The sequence below is a fragment of the Homo sapiens genome, chromosome 5 (assembly GCF_000001405.40).
Source record: "Homo sapiens chromosome 5, GRCh38.p14 Primary Assembly".
Classification (NCBI taxonomy): domain Eukaryota; kingdom Metazoa; phylum Chordata; class Mammalia; order Primates; family Hominidae; genus Homo; species Homo sapiens.
Genome location: NC_000005.10, coordinates 2,719,363 through 2,734,243, shown reverse-complemented (window position 1 = coordinate 2,734,243; position 14,881 = coordinate 2,719,363).

Below are 14,881 nucleotides of genomic sequence, written 5' to 3'. Positions count from 1 at the left end.
TTGATGCAATCAAAGGAACAGCTCTGGGCATGAGGGTTTTCAATGAGATTTGGCACTTGGAGCCACCTGTGCAAGCTACATTCAAATGCATACATGTTGGATACATTGCTTGTGGCTGACGGATTAGAGTTCCCTCAAAATTCTCACTTTCAGCTCAAGTGTAACTGGAATCATGAGATGGTAACTTGAGCTTCCAATAATTTCTTGTTGGATTTCACTGTGTTTCTAATGCAATCCAACTTATGAATCTAAATGCACTAGAAATGAGACCATTAAAACCCACTTCAAACCTACAGGGAAGACAGCTTTCTTCTGGGTCCTCATTGGCTCCAGGGCAATGCAGCCACTGCTATCTTGAGTTGTGTATTTAGAACAACTCCTGGATGTCTTTTGCCTGTTATGTGGCCCAGAGCAGCACCTCCTCTGGCACCCTATCAGCTCACTTCTTCTTGACTGTGGCTACCCTGTATGTCTGCAGAAGACACCGGATTTGTTCAAAAAGGATGCAATGTTCAAGTAGTAATTTACGCTCCAGGTCCAGAGAATTTACAGGAAGAAGAAGAAACAACAGATGTCATAAGCCACAATCTCATATGAGATTGAGCATTTTCTTTTCAGCAGTTTTGATAGGAAAACACATGGCAATTTAAAAAGCGCTGCTCATCTGCCCACTGGCCTCATTTTACCCTCTTCTCCTGCCTTTCCCATTCCCTGCTGCTGCTCACTCTCTGCCCTTTACGGATCCTCAACACCAGCCTCCTGCCCCAAAGCCTCCCTTTACCATGCTGCCTCGCACCCACCACCAGAATGTCTTCCCAGAGCGCAGCACAGCTGCACCGTTGCCAAATCCCAGGGCTTTTGGGTGAACTGCTACCCTGAAGACTGCAACCCAAGGCTGCTGGACCCCCCTGGAAAACCCCAGTTTTGCCAGTTTCCTTCTGCTCCACTCTCCTCCTTCATCCCTGCTGGGATTCCAGTGGGTGCATTGCTATCATCTGAAAACACCTCTTCCTTCTGGGGCTTTGCGTAGACTACTAGCTGCATGGGCCCCTCGTAGAAAACCATCTGCTGGAGGCTTGTGTAGACAGTCAGGTGCAGGAGGCTTGAGTAGACAGTCAGGTGCAGGAGGCTTGTATAGACAGTCAGGTGCAGGAAGCTTGTGTAGACAGTCAGGTGCAGGAGGCTTGTGTACACAGGTGTAAGAGGCTTGTGTAGACAGCTGCAGGAGGCTTGTGTACACAGGGGTAAGAGCCTTGTGTAGACAGTCAGGTGCAGGAGGCTTGTATAGACAGTCAGGTGTAAGAGGCTGTGCAGACAGTCACAGCAGGTGTTGTGTTGGCTGCAGGGCCCCGATGCAGACAGCTGCCTGTCTCAGAGTCCCTGGGCCTCCTGACTGGAGGAAAGATCTTTGTGTTTGGGCCAGGGAAGCAGCTCATGTGTAGAACAGGGGATTCTCGGGGTGTTTCATGCAATCTCAGAATCTCTAAAGTCAGGCTCTCAGTGAGCATCCTTTGCTCTCTCTCCTGCACAGGAGACTCACATGACCCTCTTCACATTCTCAGACCCTCTTCCTGTGAATGCTTTTTAGCTCAATCTAAGATGCAGATAGTTATAATTTATTTTCAACATGTGCCCTTATTAAGGTACACATTTAAATGATCCTGAAGTCTTGGAATGCCATAAGCTGATGGAAAGATTTTTAACGTGAGAAGCAGAAGGGGATGTGACTGAGAGAAGGAGGAGAGGAGAAGCCGCAGGTGGACCACCATGCCCCGCTCAGGTCCTACTGGCAGCTCCCTGTGGGTACTTACGCGCCCCATCTCTCCACTGTGCAGGGATGTGAGCAAGCTCATGCCTGCTTAACCAAACATGCTTTCAGTAAAACTTGTAGGAAAGCTCTCTGTGAGGAGTACAGTCCCCGTTAGGTACAAATACAAAGGGAACCCAAGTTTCTAGAACAAGTTTAAGTACTCTTTAGCTGAACCTCTGGGCTTTTTTCTGCTGTAGAATAAATGATGGCCTTTTAGCAATGACGTCAGTGAAGTTCACAACTCTGCTTACAAATACACCAGATATATTATTGTCCAAGGTCGAAAACTGCACAGAACTGTGTGTGCACACGTGTGTGGATGTATGCACACATGTCTGAATGTGTGCCCTTGCAGGTGTGAGCATGCCTCTGTTTGGGACAGCACACACATGCTTCCCCTGCAGGGCTGTATTATCTTCCAGGCCCTCTCAGGACCCCCAGCTCAGGAGAGGCAGCATGCAAACATTTTGATAGGGCAGGAAACTCAAAGATGAAAAAGAAATTCATGAAATTGAAAAAACCGGGTTTATTAACATTAGCTACTATTTGTTTAAATAAATGGCCTCGACGAGAGAAGTTAAATAGGCAAATGCATGTGAAAGTGTCCTCTCCGTCAACATGTTATTTCTTTAATTAGTGGCTGATGACGGCATTTGCGTGACAACTCAGTGAATGCTCCCTGGTCCTAGAAAAGAAATAAATTACACATGTGTTTACTCTGGTTTTCAGGGAGATTTCGTTTTCAGGGGTCGCAGGGGCATGACTATGTTTGGGAGGTGAGAATGCAGGCAGAGATGAATTGGGATAATTATTATGAAACTCACAAGTGCTTCTGCTCAACAACTGACCCCAGGCCTCCTTGACTTATTGGTGCAGGAGGAGGAGCCTCCCAGGACCCAGACTGGATGGAATGATAGCCACCAAGGACCCTGGAGAGCTTTCATTCTGCCATGGGGGTTACATAGCGCTGGGCCCAGCCAATTCATCCTCAGGTCACAGTTTATGTGACCCCAAATAGGTCCACTAACTGAAAAACACACGTCTTTCATGGCTAATATCTAGGGCCCATTAATAACAGTGATATGGGGGAAGCTGGAGATGTCCGGGTGCTGTTGAGCATTTTGGACGAAAACTTGGATATCTCCTGTGGCCTGCCCTGGGGAAGGGCCTTTGGCTTGAGTTGTTTTACAGCAGATTTTATTCACAGCTGTGGTTGATACAAGCTGTTGTGGGACTAGCTAAGATTTAGTTGTATGTTGTTTACATAACACCTTCAAACACAGCTTCTCATTTATTTATTATTTTTTGAGATAGAGTCTTGCTTTGTGGCCCAGTCTGGAGTGCAGAGGCACTCTCACTGCAACCTTGAACTTCTGGGCTTAAGCAATCCTCCTGTCTCAGCCTCCTGAGTAGCTGGGACTGCAGGTGCACAACAGCATGACTGGTTTATTTATCTATTTATTCATTTTTGTAGAAATGGAATCTTGGTATGTTGCCCAGGCTGGTCTTGGCATCAAGTGATCCTCCTGCCTCTGCCTCCCAAAATACTGGAATGACAAGCATGGGCCATGGTGCCCACCTAACATCTCATTTAAAGGTCATAAAAATTCCTCAGCTCATCTGAGTTGATGCTATTTTGTTCTCAGGAGACACAGGAGGGTGCAGAAGCCCTGAGTGGCTTGTGTAAGGATGCCAGCTGATGATAACGGCAACTGCAGCGTTTAGTTAGTGCCTGCTCTGTGTATGTATCCTGAGGCATCTCGTCTTCACAACATTCCACAGGACAGGCAAGGAAACTGAGGCTTGTCATTTGCCCAAGTTAATCAAGGTTCAGGAGTTTGCTCTAGATGCTCTTCTGTTGAGGTACAGCCCCCAACCTCCCTGAGGCACAGACATCCTGCACCCAGTTTTCTCTCCTGGGCTGAGGTCCTCTTGTCTCTGCCGCATGCCCTGGGCAGCCCCCACCCTCTCTGGCCTCTGCTGCCAGCTTTCATTCAGCTTTGCGCAAACGATTCCATGCAGGAAACGGAGGCCATGGCAATGACCAGCGGCCCAAGCCAGCAGCTCTGGATGGTGCCTTTCCCAGATTCCCTCCTCACTGCAGGGAGTTGCCTTAGTAAGTGCCCATCAGGACGCTAAAGATTTGTGCAAACATATAGCAAAACACAAAGGACCTAGGCTCAATTCTCCAAGCAATATGGACTTTCTCTCCACAAATTGGAATGGCAGCATGTCCTTCCTGATTGAAGTAGAGCTGCTGCTAGCATAAGTTGTTTTTCTTAAATGATTCCATGGCAAATTCACAAGCAAAAGGGAATCAGTATTTGCAAAAATAAATAATACAGCCCCAAACCATTGCCATACGAAAAGGTAGTGATGATGACTGTGGTGCTGAGCTTCCAGTCTTGGCTCCCAGGCCACACCCTCTGCTGTTCCTCAGGGTGCACAATGTTGTGGGGCCACCCTGGAAACTGCCCCTGTGCTTAGCCTGGAGCCTGCACATGTGCACCAGGAAGCAACTCTAGCTCTTGTTCTTTTTGAGTCTGAAACTAAAATCCAAGCCCTGGGTTTCTTTCTGAGATCTTATCTTTTTTAGTTTATAAACCCATGACTATCTGTATATCTAATCTATATCTATATCTAATCTATATATTATCTGTATCTCTATCTATATTTATAATTTATATCCCTGTCCCACGGAGTTTAAATTTCCGAGAATAAGCAGAAGTCTGAAAGGGAGACGGAATACACAGCTGCGGCTTTCATAAACATTTCCTTTAAATTACTCTCTCCTTGTCACCTTCTAGCTGACTCCTTGGCAGGTCAGTGGCAGGTCCTGGATTGGCACTGAACGGAAGCAACAGGCTCAGTACACACGTTCCATCTTCAGCTCTTTCTGTCCTGCTCCTTTCTCTTTTTCTGCCAGGCTTCCTTTGCCTTTAGGACACACACACACACACACACATACACACACACACACACACACTCCTGGAAAAGCCCACAAGTCTCTTCTAATTGCATAACCAGGCTCAACCCCTTCGATTCATGCCTCGCCGGCACAATCTAATTTTGGCGCAGGGGTTATGTGTGTGTTGCTGCACATAGATTAACAACCCTTAAGCAAGACTTATCAAGTTGACCGTGCATTTCAGGAATATTTTAGGATTGTCAGTCATCACCAATCAGCAGCTTGGCACATTCTCTCCAACACCAGTTGTGTGGAGAAAATTGCAGGGGTACATGGTGCTCACCCTCTCCTTTTCATTAAGCAGTCTCTATCGAGTGTATCTGGAGCTCAGTGAGAAATCTCCCGGTTTCAGGAGACACAGGCTTCTAGTTTTTGAAAACAAATACATATTTTACATTAAGGGCGAACTGTAAAGGCATGGCTTAAGGATCGGCAAGCAGGTGGTTCCAGGCAGAATGCTGAGAGGTGCGTGTGGACTTCCCTATGTATGTCGTGATGTACGGCCTCAGGGTCCGGGTCACAGAGATGCCCCTCCACACAGAGGAGACACCTTGCTGGCATTCTCTGGGCTCTGCACAGGCTCTGACGGCAACCAGCTGATCACACAGTGTACCTTCCTACAGCTTTGCCTTTCTTACTGGACCGTCAGCACCCAGGAAAGGACTGTCCTTACTCGGCTGTGGCCCCACTCCTGGTATGGTGCCAGGACATGGTGCATTCTGAAGGAACAATTGTTAGATCCAATATTTCAAAAACTGCATTTTAATGTGCATTTATTAAGCACTGTGTAACCTGAGAAGATGTGGGAAGAGCACGGGGCACCCAGCAAGGCCTCTGACTTCCCTGGTCATGGTCGCCTCCCACGTGCAAGGAGAGGCCAGTGCGTGATCATTCCTGTAGCCACATCCACATGGAAATGCTGGGATTCAGCTCCTTGGTTTGGATCAGGCTGCTAGACAATTCTACAAAAGTTTACAAATATACGGTATAGTAATTAGCTTATTACCTGGAAGTAAAGTTAGTTTTAATTGTAGACTTTCATAGCTTCAAATAGAGTATCATGGTTAAAAAACTTCAGATTATCTTCCTTAATGAAGGTGATGTTGAAAATGGAGCTCAGAACAAGCACTCAGGGGTCAGGAGATTTCATCATGCTGCTAAGAATTATGAAACACGTTCTTCAATTCATTGAATATTATTAACTCTATTGTGCTACTTTCAGAATTTTTTATTGGAGGGATAACTTAGAACGGCTCATAAACCTTCTGGAGTGTAAATGGATGTTGTGTGTACTGTCCATAAATGTGCTTCCAGACCTAAAAGGAAATTTTAATGAAAGAGCAAAAAAACCCCTCCAATAGCAGCCTGCTCATTCGATGGTGGGAAGGAAGGAAGAGATTGACTTGAGAATGGCTTTATAACAGTGGAAAGAAGTCAGCATGAGCTCTATTGATTTAGGATTTGTTGGTGAAACAGTGAAGATGTAGTGGCGAATTGTTTGCTTTTATTTCAAAGGTGGGTCCATGAGCACTTGCGTTCCTAAGTGAGGCAGGATGCTGGAATTAAAGGGGGCCATGGGCCGAGGGAGGTCACCCGGCAGCAAGGAGCTGCCTCGCCACGCTGGGGCGAGCTGCCAGGTGGAGCAGGATGCATGTCTCCGTCTCTTCTCCACGTGTTTCAGTCGGTGAGAAGAGGAATGCGATTCCTGACCGCCGAGACTCTTATCCAAATAGTTCCAAATACTTTACAAATAGTAATTCATGAAGGCACTGACAGCCGGGGAGGCAGGAAAGTAGAATGAAACATTATCCGCGTGTTCACGAGACTGAGTCCCAGCGACGGTGTGATTTCTCTGAGGTCATAGACGGCTTTTGCAAAGCTGGGGGAGAAACCCCCAACTCTGGACTCTGAGGCTGTTCCCCTAACCGCAGTCCGTCTATGCATAGAGAGGCGGCATATACTTCGTACCCTGAGCCAAAAGCCCGACTTTTTTATTTTCCCCTCCTTGAGAAGAATCCTGTTTCAGATTGCAGCATTTTCATGATGTGGTAGTGAAGAAAACGGTCAAACGCGATTAGGATGATGGTTTGCCCTCTCTAAAATGCTAGTTCGTTTGAGCTCTTTTGGAGTTGGAAGGGCTGTGTACATGGATGAGCTCTTTCTGCTGCACTTGGAAGTAATACAATATATTGAAGGACATTTTAGAATAACTTTTCCGGAAGAGCAGGGAAGGGAGCGTCTAGTGTGCTCCGAGCGAGGCTCTTTACTGGAAAAGCTGTCGGGTGTCCCATTCATATGAGAAAAGTCAGTGATTGTTATCCTCAACCTCACAGAATCCTTAACACCTTGCTTGTTGAAGCATATAGATCATGATCCTGTTTGAACAGTATTGTTCAAAATTTCTGTTAATAATTCCTCACAACCATGTGACTAGTGACTAAAATGACCTTGGATTCTACAAATGAAAAATTATCCCAACCACACGCGGGGGTGGGAGGTAGGCAGGAGGCTGCCGGGGCCCTGGCACTGTGACATTATACCCATAGCCTTCCTAGGCAGCTTCACTTCAAAGTCTATTTTAACTTCCCTTGGGCTATTTCTTGGGTGTGCATTCATAGAAAACACTTCCTGTTTATTTATTTTTATTTATTTATTTTTTCCAATCCAACCTCATCAAAAAGTAGTGCTTTAGGAGATGACCTTTGTGGGTTTGACATCTAGATGAGTTTAAAACAAATTAAATCACTCTCTGTACCCACAAGCCCCATTTTATCTCTCAACTTGGAGGCCTGGGAGGCCAAGAATTCGAAGATGGCTCAGAGTAATGGGGATTCTGCCTACTCTACCTGGAAGGAGGCTCAAGGCGGGTCCCTTTGGACAGTGTGTGAGCAGCCTCTCCCTCCAGGGGGTTCTGAGGGGAGAAATGTGATGAACGCCGTTGCGTCGTTCCCTGAGTTGGGTCTCATACACGTTCTAAAAACAACACGGGAAGAAAAATGCTCTGAGCCCTGGGACCAGAAGCCCAGTTTCCAAGCCCCATTTCTTCCCAACATAGAGCACAATACTTAAACCTGATTTGCTTCCAGTGCAATCTTCTTTCAGGAAACCCACCAAGGAATATTAGTCTTATGCTATTTAATCACCAAATCTGAACAACGAAGAGTTCTCTTCATTAAAGGCACTCAGAAATTCTGACCAGCTGTTTCCCGCCACTTGGCTGAGGACGAGGTGGAGAAAGACAAGCCGCCCAATCCCCGGGAACTCTCTGCGGCGCTCGACCCCCATCACGTGACCGTTCTTTCATCGTTCTGTTCCTAAACCGGAATCGGAGTCCAAGAGAGGGACTGGGCTTAGGGGTTTAACAGTTGGCATGCTTTAATGCATAGTACACACAGTGCAGTCCTGGAGCTTGTAGAAGTCACTTCGAGCTAGGTCTTTGTTTTGTCAACCACCTTCACCCCTTAAATTCACTGAACGTAATGTAGCAGCATGGCTGGGGAAAGAAACTGTAGCTAGTACGCCGTGTTCATTTGCAACTCATGGCTCCTTCGCATGCCTAGTGTCTAACACAGGCTGCAGAAACTTTTCCTGCCGCTTTGTTTTAGGAGATGAAGAATTCTTTTCCCGAACAACTGCTGCTCCAGGGCACTGTGCTCACTTTTCTAGGGGAAGTGACTCTGAAACCCAAAATTCCCTGGATACCACCAGAGAATGGCTGAACAGGAAGTTTTCTTCTTTATTTAAATTAGTAAATTCGACTGTTCATGCGAGCCAAAGGCAGTGTCATAGGTGTCTGTGTGGACCTGAAGGTGACCTTGTCCCATGAGAGGGATGCTGTCCACCAGGGAAGGGACCATCCCAGATTGATGGGACTCTGGGTTTCGCTATGAGCACCCACGTCATTTTCCACAGGTAAATTCCTTTGGATGTTTCTTATTCTTAGGCAGGTTAATGGTCACTTTGTACCACGGCAAGAAGTAACTGCGTGAGTGCATGTGGCCGGGGCTTTGTGTTTCTGTTTTAATCGGTTAGGAATCTTCTCCTGTATAATGTTCTAACGACATGTTAGTCCACGCAGTTTGCTCTGTGGTGGTAAACCTGGCTATTCCTCTCAATCAGGAGGCTCCATGGCCAATAAAGTGAGGGCTCCTCGATGAGCCAGGAGATGAGGCTCAGCAGTGTGCTGAGCAGGGCTGCAGCATCAGACAGTCCTTGGACCCAGAGTTCAAGAACAGGCTGGAAACCTCGAACTCGTCTTTTTATGTTTATATATTTTCCAAATTAAGTATGATAATTTTCTACGACTGAAAAATCCAATAAATGTCAACAGTGATCACTGGATGGGGTTCCCGGTTCTCTCAGCACCTGCTGGGTGAGGAGCTGGGAATGCATCTGGGCCAGGGAGGACAGTGGGGGCTCTGGCCTGATGTCCCTGTCAGGAAGTAGGGAAGTTTCTGAGGGGGTGACAGTCCCATGCCAGCCTCCCCTCCTCAGGCAGCAGCACCTGCCTGGGCCACACAGCCCCTTTAGTACCTAATTCCTGGCCACATAGCCCCTTAGTACCCTGCCCTAGTCACACAGCTCCCTTCTTAGTACCCACCCCTGCCTTGCTGTCATAGCCCCTATAGTACCCCGTCCTCATCACACGGTCACTTAGAACCTTGCCCCAGGCTCATAGCCCCTTTAGTACCCCACGCTGGTCACACAGCCCCTTAGTATCCCACCCTGTTCACATGGCCCCTTAAAACCCCATCCTGTTCACACGGCCCTTTAGCACCCCAACCTGGCCACACGGCCCCTCTAGCACCCCAACCTGGTCACACGGCCCCTTTAGCACCCTAACCTGGTCACACGGTTCCTTAGCAGCCTGCTCCTGGCTCCTCCAGGGTTTCTCCCATTAACATGAAGGTGTGGGACCTTTTCTGCAGTAGTCTGTCCTCCCAACTCTGCATATGCCTTTCTTCCAAGCTCCAGGTTCCCTTCCACCCAGTGTCACCAACATGGATGTTTTGGAGAGAGTTGGGCTGAGGGAGAAGGGAGGAGGGAGGAAGAAGCATATACCGGGCTGTGGCCACGGCCGGTCTGGCACTGGCGGTGGCTCATTTCTGCACCATAGCTACAGCTGTTGGGAGATGGGATCGTGTAAGGATCTGGTCCTTCTGGTGACTCGGCCCTGAGCCAACCCTTGGACGCAGGATTCTGGTGGAGTTGATGGCCAGGATTGGTCCTGTGTGTCTCTCTCGGAGCAGGGCACAGTCCCAGCTGAACCCCAGGGACTGACTGCACTTATGTGTGGGATGGGGAGGGGGTGGCAATTCAGGGTCCAGGAGGCAAAAGCAATCAATGCAGCCTCCCGCCTTGAATGTCACGTCTATGTTTGTCCTCAGCACCCACCCGCCCATCATTCTAAAGCCACAGGCGTGGAGTTGCACAGAATTACTCACCAGCACATTCCCAACGGCTAAGTGGAGCTCTTCTGCCACTGTGGCCACTAGAAATCTAAGTGGCCAATGGGTCTACTTGCGGGGAGAAACAATGTAATTAATAATGTAATGGACATATTGCTGTATCTTTTTCCTGCATGATACACACCATTGTGAGTATGAGGTCTTCTCACTTTAGGAGTTTTTTAATATCAAAGTAATTCATGGGGCCGGACACAGTGACTCACTCCTGTAATCCCAGCACATTGGGAAGCCAAGGCGGGTGGATCACTTGAGGTCAGGAGTTCGAGACCAGCCTGGCTAACATGGTGAAACTCCATTTCTGCTAAAAATACAAAAAAAAAAAAAAATTAGCCAGGCGTGGTGGCATGGCTATAGTCCCAGCTACTGGAGAGGCTGAGGAAGGAGAATTGCTTGAACCTGGGAGGAAGAGGTGGTAGTGACCCGAGATCATGCCACTGCACTCCAGCCTGGGCAACAGAGTGAGATTCCATTGCAAACAAACAAACAAACAAATAAATAAATACTCTCAGAATTTTCTTTCCCAGGCATTTTAGAGCCAGCTAAGCTCCTGGCTAGCGGACATGCTGCCTTCAGCCTCGTGCTCCTTCTTCAAATTCCAGTACTGAAGGGTCCATTCTCAGTTCAGGAAGACGTACGTGTAAGGCAACTTCCTGGGTGTTGGTAACATATAGGATGCCTCCTTCAGGCGAGAGCAGAGGGGACTTGAGGGAAAATGGGATGAAATCACGGTTGTGCTTTTGTTAGTTTTAACCAGGCATCGTCAGGAGCTGCAAACTCTTTGCTTTTCTCAAAGACACCTGAGTGTGCTTTGGGGTGCCAGGACTAAGCTGCCTGCTGACCTGAGTGAGGTGTGACCACCTTGTGCCTAACCAGAGGTTGGGAGCGCCCTGCAGGTCTGGGGGATGCACCTGTGTGTTGTGGCCATGACTCAGGGCGAGGACACCACGGAGGCCCCTGATGTGCGCTGGGCTTGATGGTATCTGAAGAGCCAGATATGCACTGTCTGACCCGTCACAGTCACTGTTCATCCTCCTCACTTGCAATCTGGCAAAAGTTAGAAAATATAATGCCTTCTATTTTTAAATGTACAGGCAGGGATACTCCGAATTATGAAGTTCTAGTGTCTTTCTATAGCCATCAGATATTGGGGCAACTTAACACTATAAAGGGAAGTTTGTAATTTATAAATGTGGATATTGGCATTCTGATAAGCAGAAAAAATAAATATTCCTTTAAAAATATATGTGTCTTTTTTTGCACTGACAAATAATATGTAATTACATAGTAGTTTTATTTTAAATTAATCATGGGAAGGGTTAGCAAAATGTAATACTTTAGGCATGCCATATATTAAAAAAATTATTTTTACTTCTGAATTTGTGTTGTGTTCTGCAAAGCCAAGAAGCAGACAAAACCCATTCTGGGATTACTTTCCCAATTCTCTCCTGCTAAAAGTCCCAGATCTTTGTTTTTCAGCCAGAAATGATTCATTCTATTTCTTTGTGCAAATGCAGAAATCAACATCTTTCTCCACTGATTCTTCCCTCCTACTGCAAATTAAGAATAAGAATTTTTGGATTAATTTAAAACATTTTGGAGCAGAATTTTCTAAATGTTTATAAAAATAATAGGACAATCAAAATTAAGCACCTGAAGTGATCACCACCTTAAACCATGTTGATCAATGGTGGTTCTTTCGAATGGGGAGCCCTGTAGATTTGCTGGGGAAACACGACTAAGGTGGAATGAAACTTTAGAACTGAAAGCCTGTTCAGAGACCCTCAGCATCCACTCATTCCATTCTGGAGATAACATAATGGACAACATGAATTCTACTGGTGATGATGTTGATTTGCAGAAGGCGTTCATAAACCATCTGAGAGGGAGAATTATACCATGTTAGCATCTGTGCCATCTTCATGAGGTAGTCTGCTTTTTATTCCCAGAATGGCAGTGCCCAAGGTGCAGGGAGGAAGGCTGTGTGTTGTGGAGGGCCTCCTGTGCTGGGGTCTGACTCTGTGTTTTGCACCTGGGGCCACAACGTACTGCTGCATCCTTCCTGGGCCCAGTGGGCTGAGTGCAGCTTGCAAGAGGGCCTTGGTTGACCTCAGGTGTGGCCGCCTCCTCCCTCTCCCTCAGCCCTTTCTCTGTCTCCTGCTTCTTTCTTTCTCTAGAGGCTGGAGAAGCTATACATTCACTTCCCAAGAATTTTCTGCAGCTAAGCCTTGGCCACATGTCCCAGTTCAAGTCCATGAGACAAAATGGGAAATTACTGTGGGTGTGTGGAGGGTGGGAGACGAGGGATTCCAAGAAAAATATTCTTCCCTGATTACAATCAAAACAAAACAAAACACGCTTTCCTTATTTTCCTGCCCAGCCCCTTTCTTCCTGTAAGCTGCTATGGGAGTGAGTGCTTCTTGGAAGGGCAGTAGCTGGTTTGCAATCTACAAGGATGAGTCTGAGGATAGAGAGCCTCCAAGGTACGTACGTGGAAGACTTGGAAAGATTCAGGGCATCTGGGTCCTTGGCCCCAGGACTGATCTCCTAAAAGAGAGTGTGTGTGTTTCTTGTCTTCATAGTGAAGGCTGACTGCAGAAATCAGAACACAGGAATCTGTTAACTTGCATAGTAACAAGCTTTACTAATGGTCAATTAGGTCATCGGTTTAATAATGGTCAATTAGGACTACTTTTGGGTGCAATAACTGCTGAAATAGGAATTTTGGCTTATAGTCCTAGCAATACCAATAGGAATCTGTTACTTGCAGCCAAAGGCAGTCGTAATTGACCCAAATTCAAGCTACTGAGACCTTGAATACCGTGTCAATATCCCAAGTGTATTCTCCACAACAAGCAAGTCAGTTTTGTCTATTCAGTGTGGGATGAACTGAAATGTGGTTTGTGGACATGTCTGTCACCTTAACCAACTCCTTTGCACAGGGTAGGCATTCAGTAAGTATTTTTGAGCAAACAAATTAACTCAGCTCTCCATTTTCTTGCATGCCACCTTTGACAATGTCTCTATTTGAAGTTTATGATGAGACTCACAGAGGAGAAAACATTTCCCTAAAGACATTAGGGCACCAGGGCATAGGACTTCTGTTTCACACACAAGCACCAGTTTTTCACAAAAAGATGGCTTTTGAGCATCAGTGTAAATATGTGTCACATCTGGATATGTTATGACCTGTTCATTTTCTTCCACTCTGATCTTCCCCTCTACTTTGACGATTTGGCAGCGAAGACATCCTGCCTTCAGGACAGGGAAGATGCAGAGAGGGCGAGAGGCCGTTCCTTTCTACGTGTCAGCTTTCTAGTTTAAAATCTACAGTCAGTGTTCAGTCTATTCAGTCATGCAGGTAAGTAGCCTTGTTTCTCTGTATAGATATCAACCCTTTAGAAACTGCTTTTGCTGCTGGTGCTGGGCCTGTGTGGGTGGGAGGGAGAATGCCCTCTTGGCATTGGCTGCTTTTAGTTATCTCCAGGTTAACTTAGCCTCTCTCAGGAAACTAAGAGTCTTGCAAAGTGTCTGCCTCTGCTGTCTTCTCTTCGTTTTCTTCTTTTTCTCTGCTGTTGGTGAATGTACCCAGCTCCTGTGACTCCACATGTCTTCCCCTGCTCCCATCCCACCCCTAACTCAGGTGGCTCTGTTTGTGCTGGGGTCCCGGCACAGTCAGTTCCTGCTGGCAGCTCATCCCATGGCTACTGGTGAGCTGACCAGCTCCTGGCGTGGCACTCTGGGGCATGTGAACCTAAATTCCTCTTCACTATCTGCAAGTCAGGGAGACCTTGGGTAGGTGGTGGCGGGTGTGCAAGGACCGTCTCGGGGCCCCTAACTCCAGCCCTTCCTTCCCTCCCCTGGTGGAAAAGACACTCTGCCTGTGTCTGGCTCTGTGGGCACCCTCTCCGTCCTGTGCTCATAGGCTCTGGTTCTCAGCATCTCAAGGGAGGCCTTGAGAAGCCAGGACATCCTTTTCTCCCTCAAGGACATGGCTCTTGCAATTGAAAACTTGGCTTCCAAATGTAGAGGCTCCTTTGTTTTTTTGAGACAGAGTCTCACTCTGTCACCTAGGCTGGAGTGCAGTGGCACGACCACGACTTACTGCAGCCTCGACTTTCCAAACTCAAGTGATCCTCCCACCCCAGCCTCCTGAGTAGCTGGAGTAGCTGAGAATACAGGTGTGCAGCACTCTGCCTGGCTATTTTTTTTTTTTTTTTTTTTTTTTTATTAGAGACGAGGTCTCCCTGTGTTGCCCAGGCTGGGGGCACCTCTTGGAAAAATGCTATTTTGAAAGTCAAAGGTAAGTCATGATTATTGTCTTTCGGCTTTATCCACCAAAAATCAGTGGCTTCCTGGACTCAGGAAAAAATGAGCCATTAGCCAGATAAGAGTCAAGGGGAAGTCAAAATATATTGTGCAAAAGAAAATAACAATACCTTTAAACACATTTTACAGCACGTGATCCCAGGACAGGAACTTTCGCAAATCTCCGACAAAGACAATAGACTAGAAGAGCAGGTTTCTCAATTCTAGAAACAAAGTCTAGAGAAGGAAAAACTCTTCCTGATTTCTAAGAGCTTCGATGGAAGCCTCTAGAGCCAGAAGCTGGAGGGCTTGAGGCCTGGGCAATTGTCT